The following is an 18,992-nucleotide window of genomic DNA, read 5'->3' on the forward strand; positions in this document are numbered from 1 at the left end:
CCCAGGAAACCCATCTGCCCCACATCCACCCCGATGTGAAGAACTGTGGGGAAGGCGGGGCCAGTCTCCTCCAATCACAGTGAAGAACCTGCACCTCACCCCTGCCTCTGGTCCTCCCATCTTCGCCTTTCCAGCCTTGGCTCAAATTCACCCCAAAGGCGTCTCAAGTCCTGGGCCACGCCCAGCACCCACCCGCCTCCTGGGACCATTGGATGTGTTTGGGCCTCCCAGGAAGATAGCAGAGTCCTGTGAGAGGTGTGCAGGGTACAGCTGGAGTAGGGGTGCCCCATGACCCCTGAGGAGGAGGATCTCAGACCAGGCAGGGCAGGGCTCTTCCCAGAGAGCTCCGCCAGGTGTCAGGAGCCCAGAGGCCCAAACGGTCTACCCTGCACCCCCACGTCCTCCTCGCTGTGGAAGCCTGGTGGGCGGAGCATGGTCGTGGTGGGCCAGGGACAGCAGCGGGTCGGAGCCTGAGTCTTCTGGGCTGGCCCACCTGCCCCTTCGCATCTGTGTGCGTCCCCTGGGGCTTCCCTGACAGCAGCAGCAGAAGCGATCCTTTCAGAGCTCTGGGGCCGGAAGTGCAAAGTCAAGGTGGCTCAGGGCCGCCTTCCTGCCTCTTCTGGCTCCTGGTGGCTGCGGGAGCTCCCTGACTTGTGGCCACATTGCTGCTGTCCCTGCCTCTGGCTTCACACTGCTGTCTCCCCTGTGCGTGCCTCTCGTTTCCCTGTCCTTGTAGGGACACCCATCATAAGATTCAGGGCCCCACCCCACTCCTGTGCGAACCCAGCTCCATGACACCAGAAAAGACTCTGGCTTCAAATAAGGCCACACCAACAGGTCCCCAGGGTTGGGACATGGGCATATCCCTCAGGGGCCACCATTGCACCTGCCTCAAGACCCCGCCACCCTCAGCCCCAGAACTGGGATGACCTGCTGATTTGCCCACACGGGGGAGCTGTACAGGGAGTGGGGGTCCAACAGTGTCCCAGTGGACCGGGTCAAACAGGTGAGGGACAGCACTGACCAGGGCCAGCCCAGGCCCTGCCCAGACCCCTGCCGTGAGACGTGGGGACCTCCTGAGGTGCCATTTGGGGGCTGGGACCTGGGTTGGATCCGGGGAGCCTGCCTCAGCCGCCCCACTGCCCTGGGACCCCAACTCTCCAGGTGAAGAGTTGAAGAAGACCTGTCGTCTCCTTCTTGAGGCCCCTGGGGCTGTCGGGGGAATGGTCACACAGGACCCCACAGGCACTCGGCATCACGCGTGGGCATGTATGTGTGTGCCTGCGTGTGTGTGGTGCACACAGCCGCTCTCCCGGGACAGGGTAGGGCTCACCACAGCCCCCACAGCCAGTCCTGAGCTGGGGACAGCATACGAGTCCTCGGCCCCTGCCTCCCACGCAGGCCCCAAGCCGACTGCGGCCTCTCTGACCATTTCCATCGCTTTACTCGGAAAGATCCACAGGCCAGCATGGCTCTGGGCGGGAGGCAGGAGGCTTCCAGCAACCTGGAAAAAGAAGCAAGCAGCCACTCGTCCCCCCTCACCAGCACCTCGGTTCCAGACACCCAGGCCGGTGCAGCCTTCCCCGACGGAGCAGGAAACTGAGGCCATGAGAGACAGACGGAGGCTTCACAGCCAAGAGGGCTGAGCGAGGCTCTACACGCACAGGTGACCTTCAGGTAGCAGCGAACACCACACACGCTGCATGGGACATGCACATGAGCACCACACACCACACACAAGTACACACATATCACACACACACACCACACACAAGGGCACACACACCAGGCACCACACACACCACACCCAAGTGCACACACCAGGCACAATACACACACCACACAAGTACGCACACCCGGCACAATACACACCATACACAAGTACACACACACTCTACACAATACACACCAACACAAGTGCATACACACCAGGCACACACCACACCCAAGTGCACACACACCAAGCACAATACACACACCACACAAGTACACACACACACCCAGCACAATACACACCAACACAAGTGCACACACAGCAGGCACAATACACACTGCACCCAAGTGCACACACACCAAGCACAATACACACACCACACAAGTACACATCCAGCACAATACACACCACACACAAGTGCACACATGCCCAGCACAATACACACCAACACAAGTGCACACACACCAGGCACATTACACACATCACAAATGCACACACACGAGGCACCATACACACCACACACAAGTGCACACACACCATGCACAATACACACCACACACTTGCACACACATCACACACAATACACACTACACACCACATACCACACAACACACGAGACACAAATACACACCATGAGCGATACATACCACACAATACACACCACAAGCACATGCAGCACGCACAGCGTACAGACCATGTGCACCCACATCACACACAGACACCCCCAGCTTCTGCCATGGCCCAGCCCGGCAGGCACGAGAAGGGCAGTTCCTCCCGCCCCCCTTGGGGCGGAGGGTGCAATCATGGAGCTGCTTTAGTAACCGAAGGTCAAACACTGTCCACGTTTAAACACAAGGCAGCCACAGCAGCTGCTCCAGGCGGATCTCCAAAGGTGTCACAGTGAGCAGCCTCCCACAGCACTGCCCTCCTGTCCCAAGGGCCCTGCCCCCCCGTCCGCTCCCCTCCCCTTGGCATGATCCACGCAGGGACCTGGATGGTGCCCACACAGGCTCCAGCACAAGCGCCACATCCCGGCACAAGGCCATGGGCACCTCCCGGCGCACCCACCTCCCTTGGCCAGAATCGCCTAGGGGAGGGCAGGGAAGCCCCACCACCAGCTCTCGCCTGGGCTGGGCCACTCACCAGCACATGACCAGGCAGGTCGCCTCCCTCTCAGAGCCTCAGTTTCCCCTCCGGAAGATGGCCAGGACCTGAATTAACAGGGGAGGCAGACCAGCCTGGACTCACGCTTAGCCTCCCTGTGGTGGGCGGAATAAGATCATGATTCCGGAACCTCACGTGGTGAAAGGGGGACGTTCAGGACGCTGAGATGGGAGAAGATCCCAGGGCTCCTGATGTCATCACCAAGCTCCTCAATGCTGAGCCAACCTCCCTCTTGGCCAGAAGTAGATGTTGATTATGGCAGCAGAGGTTAGAGACACGCGCTGCGGGCTCTGAAGGCAGAGGACCCTGAGCCCAGCAATGCAGGCCTCTAGAATTTGGAAAAGGCAAGAAACAGATTCTCCCCAAGAGAAAAGATTCTCCCCTGGAGCTTCCGGAAGGACCCAGCCCCGCCAACACCCTGATGTTCGTGGAAGCAGTGAGAGTGATTTTGGACCCTGACTTCCAGAACTGTGGAGGAATAAATGTGTGTTCCAAGCCTCCAAGTGTGTGTGGCCTGTTGCAGCAGCAAGGCGACCTGCCGCGCTCCCCCGGCGTGGCCATGTGACCCTGGACACCTGCTGTGACCTTGCTGGGCCTGTTTCCTGGTCTTCAGCATGTCGGGGTCAGTCACTCCAGGTGCTCAGGAAAGGGTGATAGGTGACAGGCAGTGTGGCCTGTCCCTGACCTCGGCACACACCCGGCCCTCGGTGGCGTAGCCAAAGGCTGGACGGCTGCCCCCTCCCACTGCTGGTCCCGGGTGCCCAGCTGCGGGTCACTGGGCTGTGTGGGTCTCCGTTTCCCCAGCCATACAATGAGGACGTTAAATGCTGGGAGTTTCTGAGACCTTCTTCTGCCCCACAGGCCTCTGTGCAGGCCTCCATCACCCCAGCCATGGGATGAGGACGTTAAATTCAGGGGATCTGAGACCTTACTCAGCCCCACAGGCCTCACATGGCACCGCCCTGGGCCTGTGGGATTGTTGTCTGACAAAACCAAAATCAAAGCACAGGTCCCAGAAAGGCCCTGACCCCTCAGGAGCAAGAGCATCCCAGGCTCCCCAGGCGGCCTGTGATGTCCCCGTGTCCTCCGCGAAAGGACAAAGGGGCCGCCGACGCTCCAATGACACTGACCAAGTCCCGTGCTGTGGCGGCCGCCCTGGGCTGTGGATCTGAGGTCCAGACGGCCCTCTGTGGAGGCCCCCACCCCCACCGCCGGCAGCAGGCCCCAGCCGGAGCTCCTCCCCCACCAGCAGGGTGCAGGGGGTTGTGCGGGGCTCCAGGGTTTGAGGCCGGGCCACGCTTTGCCACCACCCACCACCCTCTCCCCACCCTTGCTTGTCTCCACTGGGAAATGACAAGTGGTGCCGTGCTCGCTCCAGCATCTCATTTGATGTCTATAGTGGGTTTCGAAACTGGGTCACCTGGCTGGTGGAGAAACACGACGTGTCCCACGTGAGGAAGGGAGGCCCCTCCGCCCCGAGGAGAAATATGATGGTGACGCTCACCACGACACAGAGAAACCTGCAGGTGGTGCAGCCACAACAGGCCACACATGGTGGGATTCCGTTTCTAGGGAACACCCGGAACAGGCACACACAGAAAGCGGGTCCATGGGTGCGAGGGGCTGGGGGCGGGGGATGGAGAGTGACTACCCAGAGGAACAGGTTTCCTTCTAGGGTTAGGAAAAAGCTCCAAAACCAGCGAGAGGGGACGGGTGCACAATGCCATGGACAACTCACTGCCACCAAACTGCCACCGAACTGTGCCCTTTCAGATGGTGGCAGCGGTGAATTTTAGGAGTATGTATTTTGTCGCAGTAAAGAAGCTTCATGCCAACCCAGAGGAATGACAAATTTGCCTGGTGTCCTCGTGACTCATCTGAGAGAATTTCACTTATGAAACCAATAACAGAGCCAGGGCCTTTTGGAGGGTGCTGCAGGTGCACAGAGGGAGGGGTTGCCTGTGTGGAGGCTGAGCATGGTGCTGACGGGCACGGAAGGGCACACTGGGCACCATGGCTCAGCACCAGGCCACTGGGCTGCCAGGCAGGTTCCTGAAGCCCTCAGGCCTGTGTCCTTGTCTGTACAACCACAACAGGCATGGGGCCAACTTCCCAGAACTGGTAGACGGGGCCGATGGTGGGCACTTTGGTACCAAACCTGCCGTGGGAATGAGCCCTTCCCCTCCCTGGCTGGTAGCAGCCGTGGGGACGTGGCGTGGAAGATTTCGAGGCTACAGCCCCAAGGGTCTTCTCTCCCCTCTTCTCCCTCCCTAGGCAGGTCCACATCACAGGGAGATGTGGGCATATGGCTGCCCCGGCCTCACAGCTCTGATGGCTGACCCCGTCCTGCTGCATGGGCCTGACCCCTGGGCACTGCCCCAGAGCCCACCGAGTGAGACGGCTCCTCCTGGGTCCCCTCCGTTGGAGAGGCCTGGGAGGTGGGGGCAGAGAGCCAGGCCCAGCCTGGGGTGGGAGGCCAGCCAGAGAGATGTGGTTCTCAGGCCCAGCAAGTTGGGGGCGCCCAGGCAGGCCCCGGTGAGACTGCAGGGTCTGGGCAGGGAGAGACCAGGCTCAGGCTCAGGGTGGTGCCAAGCAGGAGGGAAACCCTTAGGTGGGCTGACATCCCAGGGTGGGATGGTCCAGAGAATGCTGGTCGCCTAACAGTCCTGCGGACAGTGCACCTCCGAGGCCGTAAGTCTCACTGCAGAGAGAGCGCTCCCAGGTCCAGCCCTCTCACTCGAGACGTCACAATACGCTCCCAATAATGCGGCTGGAGGGACCCTGGCTCTTTAAAACGTGAGTCTGCCATGTCTTCCTCCACGCAGGAACCACCGATGGCTTCTGCCCTCCCACTCAGAGGGCGGGACAGTGTCACTACTCCCATGCCAATGACAAGAGGCCTGTGACCCGGCGCCCACCTCCGCTTGGGGCTCAGTCCCACCCAGCTTCCCCAGCCCCACACCCTGGCCCCCTTCACGCTGTACAGAGCCACCAGCGGCTTCCTGCCCCAGGGCCTTTGCGCACAACGCCCTCCGCCAGCCTCTCGCGGCTCACTGCTGCCTGCCCAGAGAGGCTCCCGGAGCCCATTGGGTGCCTTAGGCCTTCCCTGCTCGGTGTTGCTTCAGAGCATGCGCGCGTGTCGTGGTGAACGGTGGCTCCCAACAACTCAGTCCACACGAATCCTCAGAATGTGACCTCTCTGGAAACAGGGGCCTTGCAGGTGTAATTTGCTATGGATTGAAATGAGGTCATACACAGATGCAGGGAAGATGAGCCCAGGATGACGGAGGCAGAGATTCTGGGGATGCGGCCACTCGCTGAGGACCGCCTGGGGCCTCCGGCAGCTGGAAGGACCAGGAAGGAAGCTCTCCTGGAGCTTCCGGAGGGAGCATGACCCTCCCCTCCCTGCTGTTGGCCTCTAGGCAGCGGGAAGGTAAAGCCTGTCGTCTCAGCCCCTCCTCACATCCGCCGTGAGGGGTGAATGCACCCCTGCCTGCTTCATATCTACCTGCTCGTGGCTGCCCCAGCTGGAATGTAAGGACACAGGGCCAGGGACCGTGTTGCCAGGCTGTGGCTGCAACCTCAGCACTGGGGACAGTTTCACAAACAGTGGGTACTCAGTGAATGCCTGTGGACTCAGTGGCTAGGTGACAGCTCCCTGTGACACAGCCTCCTTGCAACCCAAGGGGTTCCCTTCTACGGGCAGAAAGTCTGCCGCAGGAGCCGCCAGCATTTGAATCCGGGTCTGTAGCTCCCCAGGGGGACCAGGGAGAAGCAAGGGATGGTGCCTGGCATCCTGGGGCCGGCTGCCTGCCAGCCCAGTGCCAGGTTCGGGGTAGGAGGGCTTCTGGCAGCCAGGTCCTCGGCTCCCTGGATATTCTCTGGAACCCGGGACGCAGGCGGCGGGAGTGGAGAGGGCTGTCTGCAGAGTGGTTACCAGCTCGTGCTCCAGAATTAGGTGCAGCTGGGGTCAAGTCTGTGTTTGGCCACTTACTAGTCCTGTGACCTGGGGTGAGCCACAGGAGCCGACCGCACCCCGGTTTCCCAGCCTGTCCAGTAGGGATAGCGGGACCAAGTCGGAGCAGTGACTTAAGGATGAAATAAGAGGGTGCGTGCGAAGGCGCTTCTCACCGCGCCCGGCCCCCAGCTCAAATGGAATCGAGGCTGCTGTTAGGGTGCGCTCATGTGTCTAAACGCTCTTTGAATTTAATTTCCATTCTCCGCCCAAGCAGTCTCCCAAGCGGACCAGGCTCCCAAGGCTCCCAAGCCTCCTGGCTGCAGGTAAACAGGGCTTCCTTTTACTCACCCTAGACCCACCTTGGTCAGCTTCAAAAGGGGCCTCTCAGCCCTGAGGCTCCAGGGTCTGAAGGGCAGCTGAGATCAGAGCAGGGTGCTGCAAGGGAGGCCTGAGGAGTCGAGTCGAGTCCAGGGTCTCCAGTGGGGGCAGGGGGCTGAGAAGAGACTTGTGCTTATCCAGCCCAGCTCGTCTCTAGGCCCTTGTCCCCGCTAGGGGAAGAGCACAGCACTGTCCCACCTGATACTCAGGGAACGTGGGCTCGCGGCCCTGTCTCCCACAGACCTCGGGCCTGGGGAGGGTGGGCAGGGGGCGCAGAACACTGGGCAGAACACTGGGCACCTGCCCAGCTGCAGACACTCAGCTCCGCCAGCCTCGGCCTCTCAACTCTACAACGAGACTATCACGCCCCCTCCCAGAGTCCACTGTGCAGACAGCTGAACACCCATGGCTGGAGGTGCTTAAAGGCTGGGCTATTTTCTCATCCTAATCCCAGCAGCATGACCTCAAACAGTCCCCTAACCTTCTTGGGCCTCGGTTTCTGCTGCTACAAAACAAAGAAGCTAAACTGGGAGCCCCTGAAAGTGGCCTCTGGTTCCTACCCTCCCCGTCCCGCCACCATGGCGCTCACGGACGAATCAGCTCCATGTTCATCTTCCCGCTGGACCCTTACCTGGCCTGAAGGATGGGGAGAAACGTGAGCGTGGCGTCGGTGACCCGGGCTCCCGCACCCTGCAGCAGCTGCTGCCGATCCTGGGGGTGGGTGAGGAGTCCAGGCCAGGCCCTCAGATCTCAGTGCTGGTGGTCAGATCGGCCTGGCTGTGAGTCCACAGGCAGCAGTCTGCTCTGTGAGTGGACAGGTGTTTCCAGGACCCGCAGGAAGCCCAGGCACCCTAACAGGCCTATCATCCAGGGGCTGGGAGTCTTGCAGGGAGAGTCCTCTGGGCCACATACTCAGACCCAGCATGGCGACAGCTCTGCAGAACTGTGAGCGGGGCCGGGGGACACTCAGGAGGCAGGATGGACCTGGACCCGAAAGAGGTGTGGGACTCCCAGGGGAGGACCAAGACCACACTTTGGGGTGCAGACATGCCCTCGGCGGCCGCCTCTTGGGTCAGCCTCTGGGGCATGCCGTGGGGGTCCTGCACAAAGACCTACACAGAAGGGGGTTTTAAAGCCTCCGGCCTGGCAGACGTCCCATATGTGGCCACACCCCCTGAGGCCCTCTGAGGAGGAGAGGACCCTAGAAGCTGGCACCACCAGCCTTCATCATCACTTTCAAAGGTCAGCAAATCAGACCGCACGCCCCGCCCTCTGCCACACCACTTCAGAACTATGTGTGTACCCCAAAATCACACCCGTACCCTCCATCCCTCGTGCCCCTCCCACACCACTGGTGGGGGCCTCCTCGGCTCTGGGCACAGAGAGTTCAATGTGGGAGCCGTGGGTCTAAGGTTGGAGATCAAAGGGGAGTGGTCAGGGTCCAAGGTCCATGATCGAATCTCAGTCCTGCCACTGCCCAGCTGTGAGCCGCCTGGTTTCAGTCTTGAAGCCCTAGCGGGCTTCTTGGGAAACCTCTGCCCCAGTACACAGGGAGGGGGCAGGGCTCCATGCAGGAGCCCCTGGGGAGGCCTGTGTTTTAGTATAAACAAATGTGTGTGTCACTGTGTGTTGACGTGTGCCTGTGTGTGTGTGTACACATGCCTGTGTGTGTGTGTACATGTGCCTGTGTGTGTATTGCCGTGTGCCTGTGTGTGTTGACGTGTGCCTGTGTGCGTGTGGGCATACACCTATCATCACTGTTAACATCATCACCATCTGCCAGCTCCCAGCAGACTGGGCTCAGAAGGTCCTCCAAGGCCATGTCAGTGGAGAGGCCAGATACATGAACAAGGCACCACGGAGAAAACCTCCAGCCAGGGTTTCCGTCGTTCCGTGACCTTGACGCAGCCCCATGTGCAGAGGGGTCAGTCCTGGCACAGCCTGTGGACTCACCTATCTCTGCTGTTGGCCTGGAAGCTCCCCGGGGCAGGAGCCGCATCAGTTCCTGGAGATGGGGCAAGAGGCACCAGGCCAGGGTCCGCAGACTCTTGCTGAATCCCGGCTCTCCTGTTAGCTGTGCAGGGTTAGGCAGTAACAGAGAACCTTCTGGAAGCTTGGCTTGCCCTGCTGTGACACGGAGGTGCAGCTGTGGTGGCACATGGTGGGTGCCCAGGCAATGCTTGTGGGGGAGCTGCAGGGTGCCCGGCCAGCCCCGGTTACGGGTCCCCTCCCAGCCCTTGGTGGTCCCCAGTTGTACCCTCTGACCCGGGCCGGGCTGGCCCTTGGCTGGAGGGGTTGGAGGTTGGTGGTCTCCCTGGCAGCAGGGGCAGAACAGTGCTCCTTCTGGGACGATGACAGAGCCCTGGACCCGGGTTTGAATCCCACTCCCCACTTACTGTCCCTTCAAGCCACACTCATGACCTCAGTTTCTCAACCTGTACAATGGGATGACAACCTCTCTGCAGAGGTGGTGGGGACCAGCTGTCACTGCAGCGTGGTGCCACCTCTCCACGGGTCTAGACACTGCCCCTAGCCACCTGCAGATATCCAGTCCTCGACTGCGTTGACCCCCAGACCCTGGATGAAGACTTCCTAATGGACATGGGAAGTGTAGGTTCGAGTCTCATCCCGGCCCTGATCCTGGGAGGCCACTCCCCCTCCCTGGGCCTCGGTGGCATCAGCCAGGAAGTAGCAGGTGGACCCCAAGGCCTCTTTCCGAGCCAGCATCTCAGTACACTGGGTGCTAGCAGGCAGGCGGGGGCCTGGGCAGGGAGGCGATGGCTGAGACAGAGGGGAAGAGGGGGGGCCCGGGCTTGGTTTGAGTTAGCTGTGACTGAGCTCCGAAGCACGCCAAGTCTGTTTTGAGGCAGCGCAGTTATTTCATTTCCCATCGCATTTATGGGAGATCATGATTCAATTAGTCCTTTTGTTGCCCATGCAATGCAAAAATGTGCAGCATGCGCTCACTGCCTCCCAAACTGTGGTTGTTATTAAGCGAGTGACTCAGGCCGCCAGGTGTAGACAAGGGAGGCCGGAGGGAGCCGGTGGCAGGGCCTGTTGGGAGGACGGAGCGGAAACAAGAAGCGCCTCTTCTGCAGGCGCCTTCCACACCCGCAGTACAGATGCCTGGGATGGCATTTGGCCCGAAATGTCCACTTGTCCTGGGAAGAAACTGAGGCACAGAGAGAGGGAGTGAGTGGTCACATGGACACGCGGGGGGCTGGGCCAGATGGCCTCAAGATCCAGCCTCCTTTCAGGGCAAGCTTCGCTTCAGTGTGGGCTGCTTGAGGTCCCACCTCCCCCAGGCCCCCAGCCGGCTTGCACTGCAGCGTGGGCGTCAGGCCTCAGGAAGAACAGAGGCGGGCATTGTGAGGAAGCCCAGCTAAGCAAACAGACTCAGCTCGGACCCCCAGCGCCCAGGGGCTCGGACCTCAGACCCCCACCACGGCCCCGCAGCTGGAAGGTCCACACCCGGGGGAGGGGGGCTGGTCTTCCCACCCGGCCTCCAGGGACCGTGTTGGGCAGAGTGTCATGATGCGAGACCTCTGGGGCTGGGTGCATTTCCTGTATTGCAGGATCATTTATGTACAGAAAACCACACAACTCGAATGTCTGTAAAATGAACCTGCCCACCCATGTACCAACCACCCAGATCCGAACATTCCGGGATCCAGGAATCCTCCCTAGAGGCAGCCACCAGCCTGCCACTCCCACCCAGGCCAGGCCCTGATGCTGAATTTTATTTCCATCAGTGACATGGAGGAGGCTCTTTTGTGTCTGCCTCTCTTGCAGAGAACGCCAGGTCTCTGAGAGTCACCCCATCCTGGGGTGCGTAGCATTCCTCTGTGTGAAGGCACCACTTTTGTTTTAATTAATTTATTTTAATTTTTTTTTTAATTTTTATTTTTTGAGACCGAGTCTTGCTATGTCTCTCAGGCTGGAGTGCAGTGGTGTGATCTCGGCTCACTGCAAACTCCACCTCCCAGGTTCAAGCGATTCTCCTGCCTCAGCCTCCTGAGTATCTGGAATTACAGGCGCGTGCCACCATGCCAGGCTAGCCTCACCTTTTCTTGTCCTTTCTGCCCTTGGTGGACACCTGGGATGCTTCCAGTCTCAGGCTCTTCTAACTTGCAGGCTGTGGGCTTCCTTGGACAGCTCTTGGGAGCATAAGTGTTCACTCACTTCTACGGGGACTCCCCCTAGAAGTAGAATCACCGAGTCGTTGGCTGTGCAGACGCTCTGCCCCAAAGATGCTGTCACACAGCTATTCAGAGGATCTGTGGCAAGTTACGCCCCCACCAGCAGCACGTGAGTGTCCTGGGGGCTCGGTATCCTGCCTGCATTTGCTATTGTCTGCTTCAGAGAGTCCCGGGGGCTCGGTACCCTGCATGCATTTGCTATGGTCTGCTTCTGAGCGTCCCGGGGGCTCGGTACCCTGCCCGCATTTGCTATTGTCTGCTTCTGAGTGTCCCGGGGGCTCGGTATCCTGCCCGCATTTGCTATTGTCTGCTTCTGAGCGTCCCGGGGGCTTGGTATCCTGCACGCATTTGCTATTGTCTGCTTCTGAGTGTCCCGCGGGCTCGGTATCCTGCCCACATTTGCTATTGTCTGCTTTTGTGCTCTGTTTCCCTGTGTTTTCATTTGAGTCATTTGGTTTGTGTGGGAAGGAGTTTTGATTTACATTTCACTGCTGCCTAAAGATGTTGCGAACTTTCTTAAACATCGTTGGCTATCGGGATAGCCTTTTTTTGTGAAGTGTCTGCTCGAGTTTCAGTCCACTTATCTAAGATCATCTCTGTCTTTTTTGTATTGATTTTAGAAGTATTGAAAAATACTTTCTGGATACCAGTCTTTTGTTGGAAGAAAAATAAAAGCATTGCAAATATATTCTTTTACTCTGGGGCTTACATTATTTCTTCTTTCTTCCCCCAACATTGGATCTGAAAATCAAATATCTAGAAAGCTCGAAAGAATTCTACAGTGATGATCCATATACCTGCCACCTGGATTGTAGAATTAACATTGAATAGACCTTATCATGTCTCTGTCCATCTTTCTATCTATCAGTTCATCTTATTTTTTGATGCATTTCAAAGTAAGTTGCAGACATTAATACACATTGCTCAAAATACTTCAACATGTACATCATTAACAGAGAGGTCAATATTTGTATATTGGTTCTTGATTTTTTAATTTTTTTTGTATTTTTAGTAGAGATGGGGTTTCATCATGTTGGCCAGGCTGTTCTCAAACTCCTGACTGCAGATGCACCCACCTCGGCCTCCCAAAGTGCTGGGATTACAGGCATGAGAAACCACACCCGGCTGGGATTACAGGTGCACACCATCACGCCCAACTAATTTTGTATTTTTAGTAGAGATGAGGTTTCTCCACGTTGGCCAGGCTGGTCTCAAACTCCTGACCTCAGGTGATCCACCCACCTCGGCCTCCCATAGTGCTGGGATTACAGGTGTGAGCCACCGTGCCTGGCCTTGACTTTCTTTTCAAGTGAACTTTACATGCAACGAAATGTACAACTCGAGCGCCATTCAGTGAGGTCCAATAAATACAACCTAAAACCTGCCAACGTGCAGAAGAACATCATCTCTCCAGTCAGCGCCCGCATGCTCCCCCAAAGGCAGTCCACCCCCAGACAGCGCCCGCATGCTCCCTCAAAGGCAGTCCACCCCCAGACAGCGCCTGCATGCTCCCTCAAAGGCAGTCCACCCCCAGACAGCGCCCGCATGCTCCCTCGAAGGCAGTCCACCCCCAGACAGCGCCCGCATGCTCCCTCGAAGGCAGTCCACCCCCAGACAGCGCCCGCGTGCTCCCTCAAAGGCAGTCCACCCCCAGACAGCGCCCGCGTGCTCCCTCAATGGCAGTCCACCCCCAGACAGCGCCCGCATGCTCCCTCAAAGGCAGTCCACCCCCAGACAGCATGCTCCCTCAAAGGCAGTCCACCCCCAGACAGTGCCCGCGTGCTCTCTCAAAGGCAGTCCACCCCTGCCCGACACCCCCTGTTACAGTGATTCCCAACCTTTTTAGCCTCAGGGACCGGTTTCATGGAAGATAATTTTTTCATGGACAAGGGGTGAGGAGGATGGTTTTGGGATGATTCAAGCACATTACTTTTATTGTGCACATTATTTCTATTATTATTACATTGCAATATATAGTAAGTAATTATACAACTCACCATAATGTAGAATCAGTAGGAACCCTGAGCTTGTTTTCCTGCAGCTAGGTGGTCCTATCTAGTGGTTATGGGAGACAGTGACAGATCATCAGGCATTAGATTCTCATAAGGAGCACACAACCTAGATCCCTCACATGCGCAGTTCACAATAGGGCTCACCCTCCTGTGAGAATCTAATGCCACTGATCTGACAGGAAGTGGAGCTCAGGTGGTAATGTGAGCCATGGGGAGTGGACGTAAATACAGATGAAGCTTCCCTGGCTTACCTACTACTCATCTCCTGCTGTGTGGCCCAGTTCCTAATAGGCTTGGGGGTTGGGGACCCCTGCCCTAGAGGAAGCACACACTGTATGATTCTATTTTTATATAGGAAAATCTAGAGCAGGTAAAACTAACCTATGATGGAAAAATGAAAACACCAAATCAGAGAAACTTCGCATTTCCCAGAAGACTGATGATGTTGACACCTTTCCATGTGCTTATTGCCCATTTGGATATCTTCCTTTGTGAAGGTCTCTTTAAATTATTTGCCCACTTAAGGCATTTTCTGTTCTAATTCTTTATATGCCCTGGATACAAGTGCTTTGTCAGATACATGTTTTGAAAATGCTTTCTCCCAGTCTGTGTCTTGTCTATTCATTTTCTTAATGGTGACTTTTCATGAGCACTGGTTTCTTTTTTTTTTCGTTGAAATCTAACTTATGAATATTTTTCTCATATGTTCTTGCTTTTCATGTCCTAAGATACTTTCTCCAATCCCTAAGCTGTGAAGATATTCATCTAAATTTCTTTCTTTTAAGCATGATCGGTTTAGCCTTTAGGTCTGTGGTTCATCGTGACTGAGTCTGGGGTGTACAGATACCCAGTTGTGCCTGTGTCATTGGTTGGAAGATTCACCATTGGATTGCATTGACACTTCTGTTGAAAAACAAATCGTCATGTAAGTGTGTGTCTGTTCCTGAATTGTCAGTTCTGCTCATTGATCCGTTTATTGACTGCTGTTGCAGTCCCTGCTGTCTGGCTTCTGTAGCTTTAGATTGATTCTTAAATTCAGCTACTATCGATTCTTCAACTTTGTTCTTTTCAATGTTGCTTTGGATATTCTTGGTCCTTTACATTTCCCTATCATTTTAGAATCAGTTTGTCAATTTCTATGGAAAAATTCTGGTAAGATTATCATTGGAATTGTATACCAATTCCAATGGTATACAATTGTAAGATCAGTTTATGGCTCCTGGTTTTTGCATAGAATGTCAAAATGTGGAAAGAGCTTTGCTCCCATCCTCATGCTGTTCACCCATGTAGTTACCATTTCTGATGTTCTCCATTTCCTCCAGAAGACCTGAATTTCTATCTGAATTCCTACCTCTTCAGCCTTGAGAAGTTTGTTTAGTATTTTCTTAAAACCTAGGTCAGCTGCCGATGAAATTCTCTAGTTTGCTTTTATCCAAAAATATCATTTCACCTTCATTCTTGAAGGGTGTTTTTCCTGGATATAAAATTCTGGGTTGACATTTTTTTTCTTTCATCGCTTTAAAGATGTTGTTCTACTGTCTTCTGACTTCTGGTGTTTTTAATGAGGATTTCGTGGTAATTTGGATCATTATTCCCCTAGATTTTTGGTGCCATTTATCTTTGGTTTTCAGAAGTTTGACTATGATATGCCTGAATATAGCTTCTTTATATTCTTCTTGCTTCTTGTTGACTTTCTTATAGCTATAAATTTATCTTTCACCAAATTGGAGAAAAACCTAACTGCTGTTTGTCCAAATAATTTTTGACCCATTGTCACCCTCCTTTGTTTCTGAGGCTCCAATTACACACATAGCAGACCTTTTGATATTGTCCTGTAGGTCTCTGAGGCTCTGTTAATTTTGACTTCCATCTTTATCTAGGGTTAAACCACGTCCATTAATCTATGTTCAAACTTATGAATTTTTTTCTTTGTCATCTCCATTCTACTGTAGAGCCCATCCAGGAAATTTCTCATTTCAGATATTGTATATTTTACTTTTAGATTTTTACTTGTTTCCTTTTTATAGTTTCTATTTTTCTGTTGAGGCTTTCTGTCTTTTTTATTTGTGACAAGCATAATTTCCTTTACAACCTTGAGCCTAGTAAAAGAACTACTTTTAAAATCTTTGTTGATTCTAGCCCCCAGGTCATATCAGACTTGGTCTCTGTTGATTGTCTTTGCACTTGAGAAAGTGTCACATTCTTCTGGGTTTTTGTTGCTGTTGTTGTTGTTGTTTTTACATGTCAGGTAATTTCAGATTTTATTCTGGACATTGTGAGTGACATATTTTAGAACCTTTAGATTCTGCTGTGTGCCTCCAAAGAGTGATGCCTCCAGACAGCAAGCATTTAAGTTGGATAAACTCAAAGTGAAAGAAAACTCTGTCTCCTCTGTTGTGGATGACAGCTCAAATCTTGATTCCAATTATTTAGCCCCAGCCAGACTGCCTGGGGTCTACCCCATGCATGTGTGGCTTGGGGGAGTCAGCCAGATGTCCTGGCAAAGTTTAAATACAAGATTTTTCCCATGTTGGTCTCTCCTATTTAAGATCTCCTCTCCTCAGTTTTCAGTGTCTGTAGCTGCCCTAAACTCTGTCTTCTGGTTTTTCCACCCAGCAAGACCACAGGTTTTGCATCAGAGTTTTAGCTGTCCCACGTGGCAGACATTAGAGTCATCTCTCAGACCAAAAGCTGTAAAACCCAGAAAACACCACAAATACTCATCCTTTTTTCCATGTGCAGATGCCCCTCCAACATCAGCCTGCCTTTATTCCCTCTCCAGCACCTCTGAGTCGTTGTTTTCTGGTATTTTGTCTGCAGTTGATAGTTATTACCTGCATGCAGGCTGGTCTGGAAGGGGCTAGTTGGCCATTAGCAGGAACAGAACTTGTGGTTTGCATCTCACTCTCTAATGGTGTCTACTGGTGAACCGATGATTTTAATTTTAGTGCACTTTTATTTATCAGTCTTTTCCTTTATAACTAGTGTCTTGTGCCATGTTTAAGAAATCACTGCCTATTCCAAGACCACAGATATATTTTTTGTGTTACCTTCTGGATGCTTTGTTATTTTACCTTTCACACTTAGAGCTAAGATTCCGAAATTGAGTTTTGAGTATGATGTTAAGCAGGGTTCAACATTCAGTACTCAGTTGATCCAGCAGCGTTTACTGAAAATACTATCATTTCCCCTGCAATAATTCATTGGCACCTTTGTCATCAACCAGGTGACTGCATATGTACAGATTTATTTCTGAACTCCAAATCTTGTTACTTTGGTCTATCTATTCCTGTGCCAATATCACTGTTTTCATTACTTTAACCTCACAGGAAGTCACAATATCTTGTGGTGGAAGCCTTCCAGCATGTTCTTCCTTTATTTTGTCTGGCTATTATTGTTCCTTGCTTTTCCACACAAATTCTAGAATCAGCTTGTTAGCTTGTTGATTTCCAAAAAAAAAAAAAAAAAAAAAAAAAAGCTGCTGGGATTTAGACTGAAATTGTGTTTAATCCAGAGATCAATCTGAGAAGAATCAACGTCTTTCCATTAGAGTCTTCCAGTCCATGAATATGGCCCCACACTTATTTAGGTCTTAATTTCACTTAGTGATGTCGTGCCATTTTCTACATAAAAGTCTTGTATAGACTGGGCGCAGTGAGTCACGCCAGTAATCCCAGCACTTTGGGAGGCCAAAGCAGGCGGATCACTTGAGGTCAGGAGTTCAAGACCAGCCTGGCCAATGTGGTGAAACCCCATCTCTACTAAAAAATACAAAAATAAACTGGGTGTGGTGGCAGGAGCCTGTAATCCCATCTACTTGAGAGGCTGAGACAGGAGAATCCGTTGAACCCAAGGGGCGGGGGTTACAGCAAGCCAAGATCACGCCACTGCACTCCAGCCTGGGCAACAGAGTGAGACTCCATCTCAAAAATAAATAAATAAATGAGTGAATAAAAAGGCTTGCACATGTTTCATGAGTTTATTCCTGGATATTTGATGTTTTACGATGTTATTTCAAATGGTATCAATTTTCAAATTTGATTTTCCGATTGCATGTGGGGAAAATGAAATAGCATTATTTTGGGATCCATGAGTCGAGTCTCAGCCCAGCTAATCATTAGCTGAGTAATCTCGAGCAGACCTCCAGGCATCAATTTTCCTGTCTGCAGGATGGAAGCTAGGCCTGTGTGCCAGATATTAGTTGTGTTCAACTCCCAACATCCAGCCTTTTCTGGTTTATGTTGCTCTACTTGTCTTCTGGGGATTGGCCTGGTGTTGGCTCCACCCATGGCTCCTGGGTGGCCCACAGCTAAGCCCATCCAATCAGAGCTCTACATTCCTGGCTGCTGGGATGGACATGGGACCCACTGGAGCCAGTGGTCAGTCATGTCTTCTGGGACTGTCAGAAGGGGCCAAGCACCCATCTGCTGCTGGACCAGGAGGTGGCGGGCATGAGGCTAGCATGGGGGAGCTGTCTTCCTGCTGCCAGGGGCAGGGCTCTGCTGGGAAAGAACCCTGGAGCCGGCCAGCAGAAGCCCTCGGCTGTGCCTGGGCTTTCCAGTTATGTGAGCCAAGCACTGCCTTTTCTCAGCTGGTCCATTTGGGCTGGGTTTTCTGCCACTTGCTGCCAGAGGGTCCTGACCAGGAGCGGGTCCACTCCATGGTGCTGGTATGGCTTCAGGGCTGAGTGTGGTTGCAGGTGTCCTCACCAGCCTTGGAGTCCTTTGCAATTACATCTGTGGTCGGGGTAAGTGAGGGAGTCCAAGGGTTCCATTTACCTTATCATGGCAGAGGCAATGCCGCCACACAAGCTACCAGGCTGAGACTGCCAAACCCTTCCCAGATTGAGTTCTGCCTCCTCACTAAAGCCTCCTCTACCTCTTCCAACCAGCCATACACACATGGTGACAGTGCCCCCTGCAGAAATCTGCAACATTCTGGTGTTCCCCCACAGTCTACTATGTGTTACAATTAAGATAATGTAGACAATAAGTTTACAAGCCCTGGTATAAAGTAAATGCTGATAAATGTGAGGCCACCATCATCACCATCATCATCACCATCATCACCATCATCATCACCATCATCACCATCATCATCACCATCATCACCATCATCATCACCATCATCACCACGATCATCATCACTATAACCATTTTCATCATCATCATCATCATCACCACCATCATAATCGTCACCACAACCACCATCACCACCACTATTATCATCACCATCATTACCTTCACCACCACCACCATCATCACCATCATCACTATCACCGTCATTATCATTACTGTCACCACCACCATCATCATCACCACCATCACCATCAGCCCCATCATCACCTTCACCACCATCATCACCTTCACCAACACCACCATCATCACTATTGTCACCACAACCACCATCATCACCACTATCATCATCACCATCATCACCATGATCATCATCACCACCACCATCACCATCACTATCATCATTATCACCATCATCATCATCACCACCACCATCATCACCATCACTATCACCTCCATCATCACCTTCACCACCATCATCATTGTCACCAC

At 53.7% G+C, this 18,992-nt stretch overlaps 1 protein-coding gene across 1 annotated transcript in view, besides 1 other annotated feature; it reads left to right on the top strand.

Moving 5' to 3' along the window:
• Positions 1–18,992, top strand: part of ZNF469 (zinc finger protein 469) — a 339,823-nt gene that overhangs the window by 246,683 nt on the left and 74,148 nt on the right. The gene's annotated exons all lie outside the window — the stretch shown is intronic.
• Positions 2,143–3,110: an enhancer, noted in NCBI's record as "H3K27ac-H3K4me1 hESC enhancer chr16:88383362-88384329 (GRCh37/hg19 assembly coordinates)". NCBI's record gives its function as "activates a minimal SCP1, AML or CMV promoter by ChIP-STARR-seq in primed H9 embryonic stem cells {active_cell/tissue: H9 hESC(primed)}" and the evidence as "EXISTENCE:reporter gene assay evidence [ECO:0000049][PMID:30033119]".

The sequence above is a fragment of the Homo sapiens genome, chromosome 16, assembly GCF_000001405.40.
Source record: "Homo sapiens chromosome 16, GRCh38.p14 Primary Assembly".
NCBI lineage: Eukaryota > Metazoa > Chordata > Mammalia > Primates > Hominidae > Homo > Homo sapiens.